The following is a 16840-nucleotide window of genomic DNA, read 5'->3' as shown; positions in this document are numbered from 1 at the left end:
TTTGACATTGTGCAGTCTCTGGCTGCTGGTTTTGTGCTGGGTGGTGTGTTGTTGTTGATTTGGTTGTTTTAAAGATTTCCCCCCGCCCCCATTTTCTTAAAATAGAGTGTTGTGGTGGGGAGGGGGGCAGGTCCAGTTTGTAGATTAAATCCACTCGGCACAGATTGTTTTAAAATATACTTCCAAGCTGGACTTCACACTTAGAAATGAAAGTGGCTTCTTCGGTTTTGATGCTAACTTTAAGAATTGTGAGCCAAGTAAAGGAGAGCTCGTTGGGGCTTCCTGCAGCCCAGCACATATGCCTCCCACTCTCTGCATGCAATTAGTTTGCACATTTTATTTCCCCTTTAAAAAGTTTGTCCTTACCTAGGTAGCAAGGGTGTTAGATTTTAATGCCTGCAGTGGTAAACCAGTGTGCTTTTCTCTTAGAGTAAAACAGATCTGACAGGTAAACTAAGGTCTTTCTGACAAAGACAGAGGCGGTGTGCCCTTCTGTAATTATTTCACTCGATTCAGAGAAGCCTCTGGAACTCCGGCTGCTGGTTGACAGGGTGATTTTATTTCCTTTGTATATAATGGCTAAATGTTTTCGGAAATCGCTATAGTCTAATTAAGAGGTTTATGTAGGCAGCCCTAAGTTTCTCTGTTGTTGCACAGAGGAGGAGGAGGCTTCGTTTTAAGTACACTTTTATTGTTCATTTAGCCTTGTACCTTTGCAGTATAAACAGGGCTGAAAATAAAGGCATTTAATCTCCTCTCACTGACGGGCATGGAGGGGCAAAAAAAAAAAAAAAAAAAGGAAAGAAATAGCCCAGTAACTGATCAAAGAGTCAATGGCGCTGAACCGACAGTTTATGGATTTCTGTTTGTGCTACAAAATAAAAAATAAATCAAATATAAATACGGCGATCCATCGGAGGACAAGCCACTCTCTCAGAAGCGCTGGTGCCCGCCGCGGCCACGCGCCCTGCAGCGCCAGGCGACTCGTTGGCCTGCGGTGACACCCATCACTTCTGTGGTTCTGAGCCGGGTCCAGGCAGGAGGCTGGGTGAGCGGGGTTCGCGGGGAACCTTCCCTCTTCCCAGGAGGGCAGCCCCGGGCTTTCACCAGAAAGGGCTTTGTCCGCCTGGAAGTAGAGGAAAGTGTCAGAAGTGCCCGGGGAGGTTGGAAGGAATTTCCAGATAATTTTCAGGGGTGGGGGCGGGAACCGGAGAAGAGGACATCCCTCCCCCTTCCGTGGAATTTTATGCAGGGAACTTGGAGCTCCCGGCCCCAGCCTCCCGCCCCTCCCCCAGTAGACTTTTTTTTTTTTTCTTTTCTGTTTTTTCGCGAGGCCAGTGGTGGAGGCCCAGCCCGGGCGGGCGGCTCCCGATCCCCAGCTCGGGTTCCCAGCGGCGGAGCCGGGCTGAGCGCGGCCGTGAGCGCACCTAGGGCTTCGCACCATCTGGCGGAGCCTCTGCTCAAAACCCACCCGAGCGTGCGCGCAGAGACTGCCTTTTTACCCGAGAAAAATCACTGTTAGCAGTTTCAAAATAAACACCAGATTGGCCATTAGCACTTTCTTTCCAAATATCATCCGGCGAGGAGCACGTGGCCGCGCGGGCTCGGGCGCCCTGGGGCCCCGGCACTCCTGCGGGGCGCTGGCGACGCCGCGGCCCACGTGCGGTTGCTGCTCCTGGGCCTCCCGCCTGGGCTCCCAGGCCGCCCGCAGCGTGCAGAGGCCAGGTCGCTGCCCACCACTCAGGGAGGCCCCGGGAGCTCGGGACGGCGGCCGGTCCAGGGCGGCCTGCTCCCCGCGGGCGCCTGGGTTTGGAACGCGGGAAGCCGCGGGAAGCCGCGGGGCGCCAGACTTGCTAGAGCCGGGGGAGCGCGCAGGGCAGGGCGGGCGCGGCCCTCGGCCCTTGGCAAACTGCTCCTGCGCCGCGACCATCCTTCCCTGCTTCTTTAGCCTCGGGGCGTTCTGATCGGCCTCTCCCAACATGCAGATTGGAACTCGTTGTAGACAATGGCCTGAGGACGCGGCCTGGCGGCGGCGCGGAATGCCGAAGGGGCCCGGGAGCCCCGGGTTCCGGGGTCGGTGCCAGCGGGCTCTCGCTCCTTGCGCCCCGGCCCCGGCCTCCCTCGCCCTGCCCTCCCCGCGGCCCGAGCCCAGTCGGCGCCTTCCCTGCAGCCGAAGGCCCCTCGCAGGCCTGGCGGGCGCCCGGGGGAGGAGGCTGGGAGGCAGGGGAGGGAGAAGCCATCGCGGCCTAGCCCAGCTCCGAGGGTGACCCCATCGGGAGGGTGGCCGAGGGAGGGGGGCGCATCGCCTCCCCTCGAGCGTGGTGCACCTGCTGCCAGCCAGGCCTGCAGCGCCCGGGGCGATTTGGCGCCAAAGCCGCGGGCGCCGCGTAACCCCAGCCTCTGCTTGTCCCTCGCGCAGGCCATCGTCTACGAGGGCCAGGACAAGAACCCGGAGATGTGCCGTGTGCTGCTGACCCACGAGATCATGTGCAGGTGAGCGGCGGGCGGCGGGCGGCGGGGGCGCGGGCTGCCTCGGCGCCAGCTGCGTCTACAAAGGACGCCGCGTCCAGGCGCCGCCACCCCGCCCAGCTCCGGGAAGGGCATCGATTGAAATGTAATCGGCCCGAGGCCGCGCGCCGGGCCGCGGAGGAGCCCGCGCTCCTTCCCCCCAGCGCTGACGATCAACGCGACCCGCTGCTCAGCAGAGCGGATTAATATGTGGGCCGTGTCGTTGCAGTGTAGTCAAAAATGAAAACAGGTCTGGGTGATGCATCCGTCCGCGGTGCCGGAGGAGTCAGGGATCACTCGGAATCATTTTACTACTTCCTTCTCAGGCGCTCGCATCCTGAGATATACAATTGTCTGTTATTGATAAAAAGGAAACTCTTTTGTACTTACTATAGCGCGCGTGTATGTGAGAATTGGATTGTGATTCTGTCAGTTAACCTCTTCCCTAGAGCAGCGATGCAGCGTTCGTGTCGTTGTTAGATAGCGTGCCCGTTACTTGAGATCTCTGTCAGAAGAGCAATTTCCCACCTGTTTTTTCTAACTACCACAAGAGTTTCACCCCTACATGGCAAATAAAAATGCATCATTGACTTTGTATGTGTGGCATGTGAAATATAGTTGCAAGGAATAGCAAGGAAAGCGTTGCAGGCTTCCAGGCTACAGTAGCAGGCCGCATACTCTGAGGGGCATACTCCGCCTGGCTATGATGCCGGTTGCCTAAATGCCATTTCTGAGCAGACATATTGTTACAGCACTAATATACAAAAGCTGACTTTTTCTCATATCAGGTAATAAATATAAATTACAACCAATAAAGTGGAATTTCTTTATTATCCACTTCTGCATGTACTGCAATTAACATAGAAAGCGCACAGATGTGATTTAAGCTCTAAGTGGAAGACTGTAGACTTTCTTTAATCACTTTAGCTGTCAGCTTTAAAAGGCTTTATATACTTTGCCTACCATATGGTGTTAATTTAGCTAATTTAGACATGTAACCATTATACAAGTATGCTTTTTTAAAATGCAAGAAGCATAACATTTTTGTTTCATTTCTGCTTTAATTAAAGTTTCAATAACAGAGTTAAGGTAGGCTTAAAGAAGGAACAATAGAAGTTTGTGATAGATGGATGCATGCTTTTGTGGTTATAATTAATAAATGCCCCAAAGAAATATTGGTTGAAGGTGGCATCTTGCATCTTTTCCAGAAATAACAGCTTGACAATTAGAGGTAAACAAAAGCCGAAGCTGTGAAAAGTTATTCCCAAGCCTCCTGCCTTCCCTTCTCCTCAGTTCATTGCAAAGACAAACACCGACAACATGTTTTCCATATTTTAGCATCACAATCTATATAGTACTCTGGTTACCCTCCTGGTATTAACAGATAGGTTCAACTTTGCTCCTTCCGGTAGAAAGTTACATCGTAAGTTTAGCCGCAGAACACGTGAACTCACTGGGTTTAAATTCTCCAAACTGCCTTGGTAGTTGACTCCTACCGCTTCATTGTCAGACGTCAGAAAAAAAAAAAAATACAAGTCGGGCATAAAAGGGGGAAATGCATATTAAAACCACTGTTTACAATTGCTCCACAGCCGGTGCTGTGACAAGAAAAGTTGTGGCAATAGAAACGAAACGCCCTCAGACCCTGTAATCATTGACAGGTAAGGATGACTTCTTTATTTTTCAAAACAAAACCGCAGCAGCAACAAAACGTTTTGCCTTGCTTGGTTTCCAGTTGCTCCATATTTTTGAGGCTGGTGTCGAGCCCATCTTGTGCATTGCACCATTTGTTGTCCGCGTGTGTTATCATGCACAGGTGGGTTGACTTGGAAACCTGGTGGCTCGCTCTGTGGGGATTCAGTAATTGCTTGTGAGTTGTCAAGGGAAGCAGTTTCATCTGCCACTGCTCTCGCTGTGAGGAGCACTTTATGCCTAGAGAGTTTCTGGCTTTAAACCTAGAGATGTGTCATAAAATGCTTTTTGCTAATTTGTTAACAAGTATTTCATTTTTACATTATTTTTATCTCTGATGATAGTTGAAGTTGAGACTTGGGTGATGTTACTGTTGTAATTGTTGCCCAGCGTTAGAATGAATTTAATCTGCTCTCAATTAGTTGCAAAATGTGTCCTAATTTTTTTCCAATTGTAGCTGTCGTTTTATGTCAAGTAGCAAATATGTAACTAACAAACCAAACTTGTTATAATTGAAACTAATTACACATGCTGGTTACATGTTCCAACATTAATTTTCATAACTCGATTAGCTGTATGCATTCTTTACATTTGCTGCTCTTCATCTTGCTGTTTCTCATATTCCTTGGGCAATGCTGCATCCTTTTAAGATACCAATCAGTAGCCCTAATGGTGCTAATGTGCATTTGGCATAGCTTTAGTTGAAGCAACAAAAACACCACCACCCTCCTCGCCCAGCCCTCTCCCAACTCGCTGGGTTTCGGTGCCGTGCAGGAGAGGAGGATTTCTTTCTTTCCAACAATGGGTAGCAGCAAAAGGCCCAGCGTGTGATTGACTGCAGATTTTGAAATTGGTACCCAAATTGAATAAATGTTAGACGTGTACATATGACACCAGTTTTGCGAAGCAGAGGTTTAGACGGTTTTGAAGAGGGGTTGAATTTCCGCAGCTTTCATTACAAAGTTATCTTTTGATCATGAACTTTGCTGTCCAGTGTCTGAAAAATTAAACCCGGAAAACTCCATGAGTTAAGCCTAAAGAAATATGCGCCACCAGTGGAGAGCAATGCTAATGTTTAACTAGCTGGAATAGCTGTTTGCTTAGTGGAGAATGTTCGGTATCTGACAGAAGGGACAGCTCTCTTATTAGTAATCAAATAGGGTTGACCAGTTGTGGCTGTCACTCAGGCAATTGAGAACAAGTTCAACACTTTATAGAACTCGAACTATGAAAATCAATATAATTATATCTGTCTTTAGTGTTGTGGCCATGGAAATCATATAGCCTTAGATTATTGTCTTGTAACTGAATTTATTTTATTTTCTTGATTGGCTAGAAGTGTTTGAACTATTGGAGTCTTGTCTAAGTTGCTTGAAAAGGCAGTGCATGTTGGCTTTAAATGAAGGATTGCGAAAGTGTTTCATCTTTTGTGTGATACTTTAAATTTTAAAAGAGGACTTGTTTATAAAGTGTGAGACTTCTAGCATGCCACAATGATGAAGTAGCCATGTTGATTTGGCTCACATTTTGGATGCTGTGTTTTCCCTTCAAAATCACTTTGGATTTGTGCAACATTCAATCCTTTATTGACTATTGATGCTGAATAACTTTTAATACTCAGTGTTCATCATATGGTGGGAAATATTTTCCCCAGATATGCAGAAATATATTCCTTAATTCTCGTCTGAATGTTGTCTTATATTTGGTTAATTAAAATATGTGCTAAGATTACTCATATTTTTATAACCTAAGAGAAGTGTGTGATTATTTGATATTCTAGAAGCATGAGAGGAGGGGAAAAACGTAAAAACATTTGGTTAATGGGTTTACCATGTTTATTTGAATAAGGAGGATTGAAGCTCCATTTACGCCTGGCATAAATGCTTTGGAGGTCTTAATTATTGATGAAAAATCTGCTCTGCTCCTAAATTCAAAGATATGACAATTTTATAGAAATTTTAATCACCGTCTATTTTAGGGATTTTAAGGTGAGGGTAGTTTTATGAAATGACAAATACAATGTACATTTTTAGCATTCTTAAGAAAGCTGTCACTTAGAATGGCAAAGTACTATTAGCATTGTGTTGTCTGTTGTAAATCCCTGTGAAATGATTGCAGTATTGGCACTGTCTCCAGCTTACGGCATATTTCTACGTGAAAAAAATGAAGAATTTAGTGTTCACTAGGGCAAGTTAGATTAATCAGAGAAAGAGGAATACCTATAGGAGGGCAATCTCTTTAGACTGACACCGTCTTTTGCAACTGAGATGCGTTTCAGTTTCATAATGATAATCATTTCTGTGGGGTGTATGTTGCCTCTGAAAATTAGTTGCTTATGTTGAGTTTCTAGCCTGTCTTTTCTCTTGAGTATTGCAGAATAAAATGTCCCACCAGACTGGGGAGTCAGTTTCCAGGTCCCCATCAGCAGTGTCTCATTTGGTTAGTTGGCTTAAAAAAGAATTATATACAACGTGCTTTGCCGGCTCCTTGTGGCCTTTGGATACATTTAGCAGGTTCTGACCAGATAAGGCATATTTGTCCTGAGGATATAAACCAATAATTCCAACCTGAATTGAGATCAATGGGCCCACATTTGTTCCAACCCACACCGAGCCTCTCCCGGCACGTTGAGACTGCCTTTCTGTGTTATGAGAACAGAGAAGTAAGCTCCTCGCTCTGGCAGGGTAATCACATTCTATAGACTCTGATGCCTTAAATCAATTAATTACACAATTTAGTTCAGTTATCTTTCAGAAGCATTAAATACTTATGAATGGCATGAAGACCCTTCAGAGAAAAAAAAAGGGGGGGGGGAAGTGAGGCTGTTTCCCATTACAAAACCATTTCATGCACTGCAAAGGTTTCACTTATGTTAACTGTTTTCTTTCTCATAAAACATTGCTAGAGGAACAAGTTTTTAATAGCACCATGGTTATAACTATATGCAGTATATTTAAAATAATATAACAACTTACGGAGCAAAGAAGAAACATAACATTGTAAAGTAAAAAGCATGGTCAATAAAGAGATACTACAGGAAAAAAGTATCTATGGTAGATTGTGTGACCTGCAGAGAACCAAATGCAAGTAAAGGAAGAGTGCACACACACAAACACACATGTACACCTTCTGTACATACACACACAAATGATTTTTAATGGTATTGCTGAAAAGGATGGGAGTATCATTTTCCTCGTGGAATAATGTTTTCTGGGAAAACACAAAAGCAGATGGTCTTCATTAGGAACACCCATTGTCCACATATCCCAACTATGAACAGATAAATCTCTCCTGTTTCACCCGTGCATTCCAAGGGCTGCAAATGATTCCAGGATGTCGGTGTAGCTGCTAAGCCAACACCACACTCTGGCTCCCATCACTTGCTCGTGCCATCCCGGTCTGTTTCCCAAGGAGCTCTGGAAATGCCCAGGAAGGTGTATACTCCTTTTCTCCCCCTCCTTGCTTGGGCTGGGTGGATGGAAGGTGCAAGGTCCAACTGTTGCAAAGTGGGGAGGCCAACTGTAGGGGTGGTGGGAGCAGGGGCTGTGGCTGCCCAGGCAGGCCGGGCACACGCAGGGGCTCCATGCAGCGCTGGGAGCGGGCTCGGCGGGGCGGTTCCAGATGGCACCGTCTCCGGCGTCCCACTCGCTGGCATCTCTGCGGCAGGCGGTGCCCCCTCCCCAATCAATCTGGCATTAGTCTATAGAGTTGGGAGACTTATCATTCCAAGTCTGTCCTACTTTCCTGTCTGGAAGCCAGACATCTGTTTATCCCATTTTCTTTCATACAGAGTTTGGAATTGCTTTAGTTTTGGTGGGGGTTGAAGAGGGGGGAGGATGAAGTTTTGTCATATTTAACAGCTGTTATAAAATTTCAATCCTGTGGGCTCTGAAAATACTTTTCAGCTGACCTCAGATTTTTATGCGTAATTGACGTTGTGTCATAGGGAAATATTATTTGCTTAACCTTCCATTGTCTGTGATTTCACATTGTCTTTAGTCAGATGACCTGACTACCCCCATTTCAGCTCTGCGCCCCCCCTACCCTGCACAGCCATACTTTGATTCATATGTGCGTTTTAAGTTTACACCTTTAAAGTGACTGTGGAACGGTAGCCCAACGATTGGAGATTTTTTTTTCTGTCTTTCTTCTTTCTTTTCTTTCTTTCTTCTTCTTCTTCTTTTTTTTTTTTTTTAGTCAACAGTGTTTCCTTTCACTTCCTGTCACAAAGGTCAAAGAGAGCCGACCTTTGCTGGCAGTCCTGCTCACTGAATTATTCATGGGATTGACTTTTTGTCAGCACACACAGTTGTGCTCTGGGACATTTTATTCATTTACCTCATTTAAAGCGCCTTTCTGCACCTGTTCAAGTATTAATATCGTGTAATTTGGGCCTAATGCCGATTTTGCTGAACACTCATTATATTTTTTATTAGCTATATTTCCAAACGATTATGTATGATTATTACCAAGCCTTACAAACAGCACCGGGTTATTCCCTAGCCCTTTACATCTTCTTGTCAGGTTGTTTTCAGAAGCGGGGAGGATAAACATTTGACCAGTCCCAATGTTTTTATTCCTACTCCATCTCCAAGCAGAGAACTTAAAGCTTCCTCCCTCATGGCTTTGCACGAGCGTGATTAAATCCAACTCTGCTGAAGCTGTACAAATGCCAGCATTTATAAGGTCAACGCTTTTGTTAAAAATGCTATGTAAATGAGGATCTGCAAAAAGGGACATTAAATAAAATTAAATTCATTGTCTTCTTTAATGTCATTTACATTTTGGCTAAGCCCCGGCCTGTCAAGGAGGATTTTAAAAATAATATTAATTACACATCATTTAGGGATCCAAGGTTTTCTATTCAGTAGCATTTGGATAACCTGCAAAACGGAGACTGTTTATTAACTTCTTAAATGACAACTTGTCATTTCATCTGCATAATGCAATGAAAACAGTATAGTTTGGTGTTAATTTTTCCTTCTCAGTTTTCTTAAAGATGTGAATATAATTATCATTGGATAGGCCTTGGGGTCCTGGAGATCCTCTCTTGGCGGAGGCTGTGCATTGGAGATGCTCTTTGGTTCAGGGTCTGTTTTAATACATTGGGCCTTCAGTGAAGGGAAAGTATTGGCTAGAAATTTGGCAATATTAAAACACCTTTTGGATGAATGGATGTGGCTACAAAGAATCTGATTCTGGCTGGCACCGGCCCCATTTGGCTTCGCCGGGCTCAGGTGTGAATGGCTGTTTTATTCCCTGGCAGCGCCAGTAGGGAGAGGCAAAAAGTTCACTGCATTCATTCATCCTTTCAATTTTTCCCCCTAAACTTCTGAAAATAAACAGAAAAGGAAGAGCTGCATTATGGAGGCACAATGGCATGCTTTCATTTAAAGAGGGAGGCGCCAGGAACAGTGCCCACTTTGTAGGTTTGCCCTGCCCATAAGCTTGAGATGCGGGTGTGCACCACGCCGGCTGCACGGTTAGCCTCCGCTGTGTGTCACAGCTTGCGTGGTCGCCTGCCGCGGTGGGTCAGGGCCACCACCAGGCCCAGGCCTGCATCTCTGGCCTAGGCCTAGGAGGCCTGCGAGATTTATGGCTGCCTGAGCTGGGTAAAGACTCCACCGCCAGGCCAGTCAAGGGCTGGGTTTGAAAACAAGCTACACACCCACAATGACTTCCGCATCACTCTCCACCAACTCGGATTCCCGTCTGCCTGTGCAAGGGTGAAAACCTCGTGGTGTTGCCTTCCCCAGGCCCTGCAGCAGCATGCAGCCGGGTATGAACGTGCAGGGGTGGAGGCAAGGGCTGGAAGCAGGGCTGTCAGAAGCTATACTCTGGGAGGCATGTTGACGGAAAGCATCCTGCACCGCTGCGGCAGCCTTATCAGGTGAGGAGCGAAGATATTGCAGTGCCTGTAATTGTGTTAGGATGGCATGGGTGAATTGGATTACTTTATGGAAAGCCGTCCAAACTCGAGGTTCTGTTACGCATGCTTACAGGAAGCAAATAATTACTCTGTGCACCAGAAGATAATTGGGGCTGGCCAGAGGCCTTCTCGTGATGCCGAAGAAAGCAGGAGAAGCTGGCCTCGTCAAAGCCTTTAGGAGACAGACCAGGAGGACGGTGATCTTTGCTAGGCATAGGTGGCTCACTGTGATGCTGTAATTGTTGGTTACTTTTTAAAGATGGTGAATAATTTATCAGAATTCAAACAGTGGCAAAGGGAGACACGTTGAAGAAGATAAAAATTCCAAGCTCTAATGATGGAAATTGTCATTGCAGACAGGAAGTGATTGACAAGTGGGGGTACAGGAAGTGAAAACTCAAGGAGCTTAACCTGCAGTTGGCAAAGCTTCTGCAGCCTACACTTGGAGAAAATGAAAACCATTCCCTCCGTCAGCTTGCCAGAACACAAGCTCCTCTTGTTTGTTTATCTTAATAGCAAATCTCCCAAAAATGTTTGTGGTCCAAACTCTATATAATGAGACATTATGCTGGCATTATTCATGCTTTAATAAAAATATGGCTATCATTTAGAAAAATTAGTGCAGTAATTTCATGGGTTAAGGGGTTTTTTTTTGTTGTTGTTCTTGTTGAATTTTATAAGCTTCTTAGACTTTGGGGTAACCAGCGTTCATTAAATTGTAGAAGCTTGAGAAAACTGTTTTCAAAACGATGTTTTCAGAAAAAGGTCAGACATATCTGTCAAAAGAGTAAATGCTATAAATTTGCCAACAATTCGATAGAGAGCACTGCAGGGAGGGGTATAGGGAAACTCTTATTTTAGTTGTTTTTGAATCACTCATTTCCCCTTCCCCTTAAAAACAACACAAATGAAAACGATCCCTCTCCAATTCCTTCGCTGGAAGTTGCTCAGCTAGAAAATACTCAAAATTCATGCAGGGCTGTGGTGCCCGAGTGGATGGGGCGCATCCTCTGCAAACGGTGGTGGGGGCAGCAGCCGCGCCTTCCCAGTAATTCACTAGGAAATGAGTTTAACATGTGCGGAAAGGAAGGGGCTCGCGGTTGTGTTGTTGTAGGACATGGAGCCCAGGCCCCGCGAACGGAAGGAGTCGGCTCCAGCGTGTCTCTGCTGGAAGACGGAGCTGCCTGCACATCTGGAGAGGAGGCCGTGCATTTGCCCAGACAGGCAGCTCCAGCCGCCGCCCCTGCCTCCGCCCCCCTCCCCTCCCTCCTCCCTCCTCCCTCCTCCCTCCACCCTCCACCCTCCTGCCTATATTTTCCTCTGTCCCTCTCAGCAGAAAGCAGTTGGGGGCAGGGTGCCATGTTAAAGCACAGAAGGAGACAAAACTTTGGCAGTGTTTAAGGCCCTAAAAGCATTTGCCCTTGTGATGATGAATTTACAAAGGGAGAAAGACCAACCCTGACCATTGAGGCCTGCCAGCTGAGTCCAGGTTTCCACAATGGTTTGGTAAGGAACTGCACCCCCTCCCGCTTTCTCTAAGTTTTCATTGAATCAGAAAGCTTGCACAGAGATGGCCAATCTGGATGTTAGGGAGCTGCTGAAGAACAGGTCTGGAGGCCTGTGCCTGGGCTGGGGCCATCCGAGGGTGACATATGTGCAGTACAAGCCCGGGATTTGATTATGGGCATGGGCAGGCAGCGTGCGCCTTCCCCAGGCGTGCATGTGGGGATCCCTAGCAGGGTCACCCCAACTCTGGGCAGTGATGGGGCCTGCATCAAAGGTCACGTTCCCCCACGAGTCCCATCACTTGGAACAGGGTCATTTAGGCCCCATGGGGGAGTGTCCCTTTTATTTGAGGTAACACCCAGGAAAGCCGGCTTAGTCTTCTTGGCACTGGAGCCTGGGATGCTGCTCACTGGTTTAGGGAGGGGCTCCTCCCTGAGTGCCCCCTAAGTTTTCTTTTTCTCTTTTCTTTTCTTTTCTGTGTGTGTTTTTGAGACGGAGTTTTGCTCTTGTTGCCCCAAGCTGGAGTACAATGGCACGATCTCGGCTCACCGCAACCTCCGCTTCCCGGGTTCAAGTGATTCTCCTGCCTCAGCCTACCGAGTAGCTGGGATTACAGGCATGTGCCACCATGCCCAGCTAATTTTGTATTTTTTTTAGTAGAGACAGGGTTTCTCCATGTTGGTCAGGCTGGTCTTGAACTCCCGACCTCAGGTGATCCTCGGGCCTTGGCCTCCCAAAGTGCTGGGATTACAGGCATGAGCCACTGCACGAGTGCCTCTTAAGTTTTGTAAGAACTTCAGCACCAGGGGATATGGCTGGCAGGGGCCTAAATGCTCTTCTGACAGATTAATGCAGGTGTCCTTTCCAAGTTTTCATTGTCAAGAACCACACGTCCGGCTCTGCAGAATGACATCCCATAGTCAGGAGGAAGGACTGGGAGATGCAAACAGCCTGGGGGGCAGGGCATGAAGCAGGGACATTGAAGCCACACCAGCAACAGGCACCCCTAACCTGGCCTTGTCTTCCTCTGCATCTGATGCAGATTTAAAGGTGTTCTCATAACGCTTTAAAAACACTGAATAGACTATTTTTTAGAGCAGTGTTAGGTTTACAGAAAAATGACCAGAGAGTACTGAGTTCCCATATCCCCCCACCTCCCCCCACCCCCCAGTTTCCCCCAGTGTTAACGTCTTGCTTTGGTGTGGTATCCTCATTACACCTGAGCCAATGCTGATACACGAATATGAACTAAAGTCTGCAGTTGACATTGGGTTCACTCTTGGTGTGGCACATCTGGTGGGTTTTGGCAAACGCATCGTGGCACGTACCTGCCATCGCAGTGCCGTGCAGAATAGTTTCACATGTGCTCCACCTAGCCACCCCTCCCCCTTTCCTGAACCCCTGGCACCCCTGGATCCTTTTACTGTGTCTCTAGTTTTGCTTTTTCAGAATGTTGTAGAGTTGGTAGCATACATTATGTAGTCTTTCCAGGCTAGCTGCTGCTGCTTTTTTTTTTTTTTTTTTTTTTTTTTGAGACGGAGTTTTTGCTCTTGTTGCCCAGGCTGGAGTGCAATGGTGCAATCTTGGCTCACTGCAACCTCCTTCTCCCAGGTTCAAGTGATTCTTCTGCCTCAGTTTCCCAAGTAGCTGTGATTACAGGCATGCGCCACCACACCTGGCTAATTTTTTGTATTTGTAGTAGAGACGGGGTTTCACCATGTTGGTCAGGCTGGTCTCGAACTCCTGACCTCAGGTCATCCACCTGCCTCGGCCTCCCAAAGTGCTAGGATTACAGATGTGAGCCACCGTGCCTCACCCAGACTGGCTTCTTTCACTGAGCAGTAGGCATTTAAGTTTCCTGCATGTCTTCTTGTGACTTTTTAGCTCACCGATAATACTCTCTTTGAATATAATTTTTTTTTTCTTCTTAAAGGTTACTGGGCACTCTGCTTCCTTCCTTTCAGTGTCTTGGTGTTTTAGAAGTGAAATCCTTCACTCCTGAGCTTGTCAAGGTAGCAGGTCATGTTTCGGTGTTTGGATGTCATCAGTGGGGTTCACCAGGCTTTCAGAAGTTTGCCCGTCCTGCCCTTCTTTTTTTTTTTTTTTCAAAGCATTTGGTTCCTTTGCAAAGAAAGAAATGAAAACATTTTAACTTTATATTCAGAATTTAAGTGGCATTGCTCAATTTCACTTATTATAAGGGGTTTATTTCCTCAATAATACTATTTTGGAATATGTAAATAGTATAGGCCATAAAAGGAAAATGATTAAATTATTGGGAAGGCAAATATACTGCACCGTGGCATAAGAACAGAATGAATTCAGCATTCAGTGCAGTTGTTGGCTTTTTTGGTTTAATAAATTAAAGTACAAATTTTCCTAATTGCCAAACAAAATGTTAGGCCAGCTTTAGCCATTGCTGACAGTAAAACACAACATAAAACCTGCTGAGAGTTATATGTGGTATTTAATACGAGACAGAGTAATGCAAGGGTTTTTATGGTTAAGTATGAATTCACACCCACAGCATTTGTTTCCCATTAGGAAAGGTTTGTAAATCAGATCAGTGTGCCGGGATGGGGTGGTCCCCCGGCGGCCCCTCTTCCTTGATATTTGGTTATTGGAAATGCTGCCAAAGGGAGCTCCCTGTCCATTTCCATTTTCTCAATGAAGCGGCTCGTCCCCTGACACGAGGAAGATTGGGTCAGGAAACAAGTGGGGGATTGGATTGGACGTGCTGCTGGTCCCCACTGTCCGAGGTCATCGGCCCGATCCAGCCACTGGGCAGCCGCCATCAGTTACCAAGACATGGGCTGCCAGGTCCCCGGCCAGCGAGGCCCCAGGGAAAGGTGGAAGGACCTGGGAAAGTGCTTGCAGAGGGGGAGGCCAGCGATCACTATCATTTATTAAATTTGACAAGCAGGTTCTAAATATAACAGCCCTTTCCCCAAAGATCATTACCTTGAACAAATAAATGAGTTATGCAAGTTAATAAATGGTGAGGTTCCCCATCCAGAGGTGCACCTTTGTGTGGCTCAAAAATAGACTCTGCCCTTTCCTGCTCCCCACAATGTGGGGGCACTGATCCTCTCCCTCTTCTGTTGGTCACCGGAGCTCTTGCCTGGGACGCATGGCCTCGTCTGCAGTGTGGCACGCCAACAACAATCCAAGAGAAAGCTCAGAAACAAAAATAAACTTGTCTTGGTTCAGAATATTATGACACATAGATGTGCCTTAGAGTTTTAAAAATACTTCTTTCATACGTGATTGTGAATAAAGCGAGGCTTATGAGACATTTAACTTTAAGGAAAAATGTTATTTGGCTGCTCCGAGTCCTGCGGTCAGCAGCATATTTACCGGGTTCGGGACATTTGTCATGACAAGTAACTGCCGCTCATGTTTCCTCAGACCCCATTCTAATTATTTTCAGCAATTACAGCATCCAGAACCCCATTCCAGCCCCAAACACATTTGTTCCCATTTATTAGACTGTGAGCAGTAACTAATTTACATTGTTTCAGAGTTGTGTGTTATGGTAATTTATTGCGTGTGCTGGGGGTCAAACAGAGTTGACCAGTCGCCAGGGCGGGTCCGCGCGAGGCCAGGACCGAGGGCCCAGCAGTGAGAAGCAGGGAATCCGCGGGCATGTGATTTTAAAACGGCTACGGTCTTTTTAATCATGTTTTGATTTATTCCCTGTGACGTTACTTGCTCTGCTCTTACTCCCTGTCTGTGTTTAACAAATCAGAGCCAGGAACAGGATTTTTTTTTTTTTTTGGAAGGAAATAGTAGCGATATCTTCTAACGAGTGGAAACTTTTACTAATGCCCTGAATAAAATATTTGTCAGCGGCCTCCACTAAACGTAAAAGCACTCCACAGAGAAACAATGTCTTAACTGTTCCCTTCTCCTTGTAGCAGGTTTTGTTATCAAGTTGAGGAAAAAGGCTTGTTTAGGCGAAAATAATGATCATAAATAGAGCTGTATGGTGAGGCTCGAAGGGAGCGGTGACAGGGGCTGCTATCATACCTGCAATTCCAAGGAAATATGAGTGTTCTGATCCAGGGAAGCAGTAATTATCTTTTTGTGAAGAATGTACAATGGTGTCGGATGATGAATTGATCGCAGATTGGACGCATGGTTTAACTGTCATGTTACAGAGATAAGAGAGAGCTCCGGGATCCTGCACCGCTTCTGCTAGTTCACAGCCAGCCAGTTTATTAGCACAAATCCCAAATGTTTAGTAAACTCATTAGGTTCCATCTAATGCTAATTTATCATCATAGATGGAACCCTAGCAGTGGAGGCCGGAGGACTGTACGGAATCCGTGTGATTTACAGAGCCCTCTGATCAATCACCTTCTTTGCACTGGCCATTTTTCTTCAAATGCTTTAAACGGGCCTGAATGATCCATAGGATTAGACCATCGCAATCGGTTAGGGTTCTCCCGAGTTATCTTCGAGGGATGGTTATCTGAAAGGTTAGGAAATCCTATACAGACTGATGTGGGGAGAGCTTTGGTTTTGGAGTGCTTTGCCATTGCTCCCCCTCCCTCCCTCTGCTTCCTTTCTCGCTTCTGCCTCCAGATCCCCCCAGGCCTCCCTCCCCTCCTCTTCACTCCTCTCCCCTCCCCTCTTCTCCCCTCCCCTCCCCTCCCTGCCCCTCCCTTCACCTCCCCCCCCTTCCCCTCCCCTCCCTTCTCCTCTCTTCCCCTCCCCTCCCCTCCCCTCCCCGCCCATCTTCCCTTTTCCTTTTACAATCTGGTCACAGAGTCGAATTCAAAGAATTTCCTTGCAAAATCAGTTTACCAAGAAATGCATCATGGTACATAAATGTCAAGTACAGTTTATTCTAAACTTCAGACAGTGTTTTTCTTTTAAAAAATCAAGCTTTAAATGCCCAGTTCTCCTGACATTTTCGTACATATTCTATAGTGTTTTCGAAGAGGATAATAACCTTTGCTTGATCCTAGGCAACAGCTGCAAAGATAATGAAATTCTTATGATATTTCACCAGGTAAAATGTGAATTGCAGAAGAAAAGCTATTGAATTTTTATGGATCTTAATCGCATAAAATGAGATTCATGGGGCATACGTATAACTATACTCGGTGGACCAGCAGGCTCAGTTGCAGCAAGGATTCACCGTGTGGTGTGAGGGGCGCTCCAGCTTCCACTAAGAAAATGCTCCCCAAACGCTGCCTT

The 16840-nt window shown here is 46.5% G+C and overlaps 1 protein-coding gene across 15 annotated transcripts in view, besides 4 other annotated features; it reads left to right on the top strand.

Moving 5' to 3' along the window:
- The window catches only part of EBF3 (EBF transcription factor 3), a 129042-nt gene that overhangs the window by 2848 nt on the left and 109354 nt on the right, over window positions 1-16840 (top strand). For all 15 annotated transcript variants that reach the window (XM_011539574.2, XM_047424961.1, NM_001375392.1 and 12 more), the window contains exons 5-6: window positions 2420-2493; window positions 4101-4169. In XM_011539574.2, the coding sequence (XP_011537876.1) occupies window positions 2420-2493; window positions 4101-4169 (143 nt within the window). The remainder of the gene's footprint in view (window positions 1-2419; window positions 2494-4100; window positions 4170-16840) is intronic.
- Window positions 501-1172: an enhancer, noted in NCBI's record as "H3K4me1 hESC enhancer chr10:131758519-131759190 (GRCh37/hg19 assembly coordinates)". NCBI's record gives its function as "activates a minimal SCP1, AML or CMV promoter by ChIP-STARR-seq in naive H9 embryonic stem cells {active_cell/tissue: H9 hESC(naive)}" and the evidence as "EXISTENCE:reporter gene assay evidence [ECO:0000049][PMID:30033119]".
- Window positions 874-1078: a silencer, noted in NCBI's record as "fragment chr10:131758613-131758817 (GRCh37/hg19 assembly coordinates)". NCBI's record gives its function as "represses an EF-1alpha promoter that drives an FKBP-Casp9 reporter gene in an ReSE screen in HepG2 liver carcinoma cells {active_cell/tissue: HepG2}" and the evidence as "EXISTENCE:reporter gene assay evidence [ECO:0000049][PMID:32094911]".
- Window positions 2517-3189: an enhancer, noted in NCBI's record as "H3K27ac-H3K4me1 hESC enhancer chr10:131756502-131757174 (GRCh37/hg19 assembly coordinates)". NCBI's record gives its function as "activates a minimal SCP1, AML or CMV promoter by ChIP-STARR-seq in primed H9 embryonic stem cells {active_cell/tissue: H9 hESC(primed)}" and the evidence as "EXISTENCE:reporter gene assay evidence [ECO:0000049][PMID:30033119]".
- Window positions 11501-12335: an enhancer, noted in NCBI's record as "H3K4me1 hESC enhancer chr10:131747356-131748190 (GRCh37/hg19 assembly coordinates)". NCBI's record gives its function as "activates a minimal SCP1, AML or CMV promoter by ChIP-STARR-seq in naive H9 embryonic stem cells {active_cell/tissue: H9 hESC(naive)}" and the evidence as "EXISTENCE:reporter gene assay evidence [ECO:0000049][PMID:30033119]".

Source organism: Homo sapiens, chromosome 10 (genome assembly GCF_000001405.40).
Source record: "Homo sapiens chromosome 10, GRCh38.p14 Primary Assembly".
Taxonomy (NCBI): Eukaryota; Metazoa; Chordata; class Mammalia; order Primates; family Hominidae; genus Homo; species Homo sapiens.
This window is presented reverse-complemented; position numbering and strand designations above follow the sequence as displayed.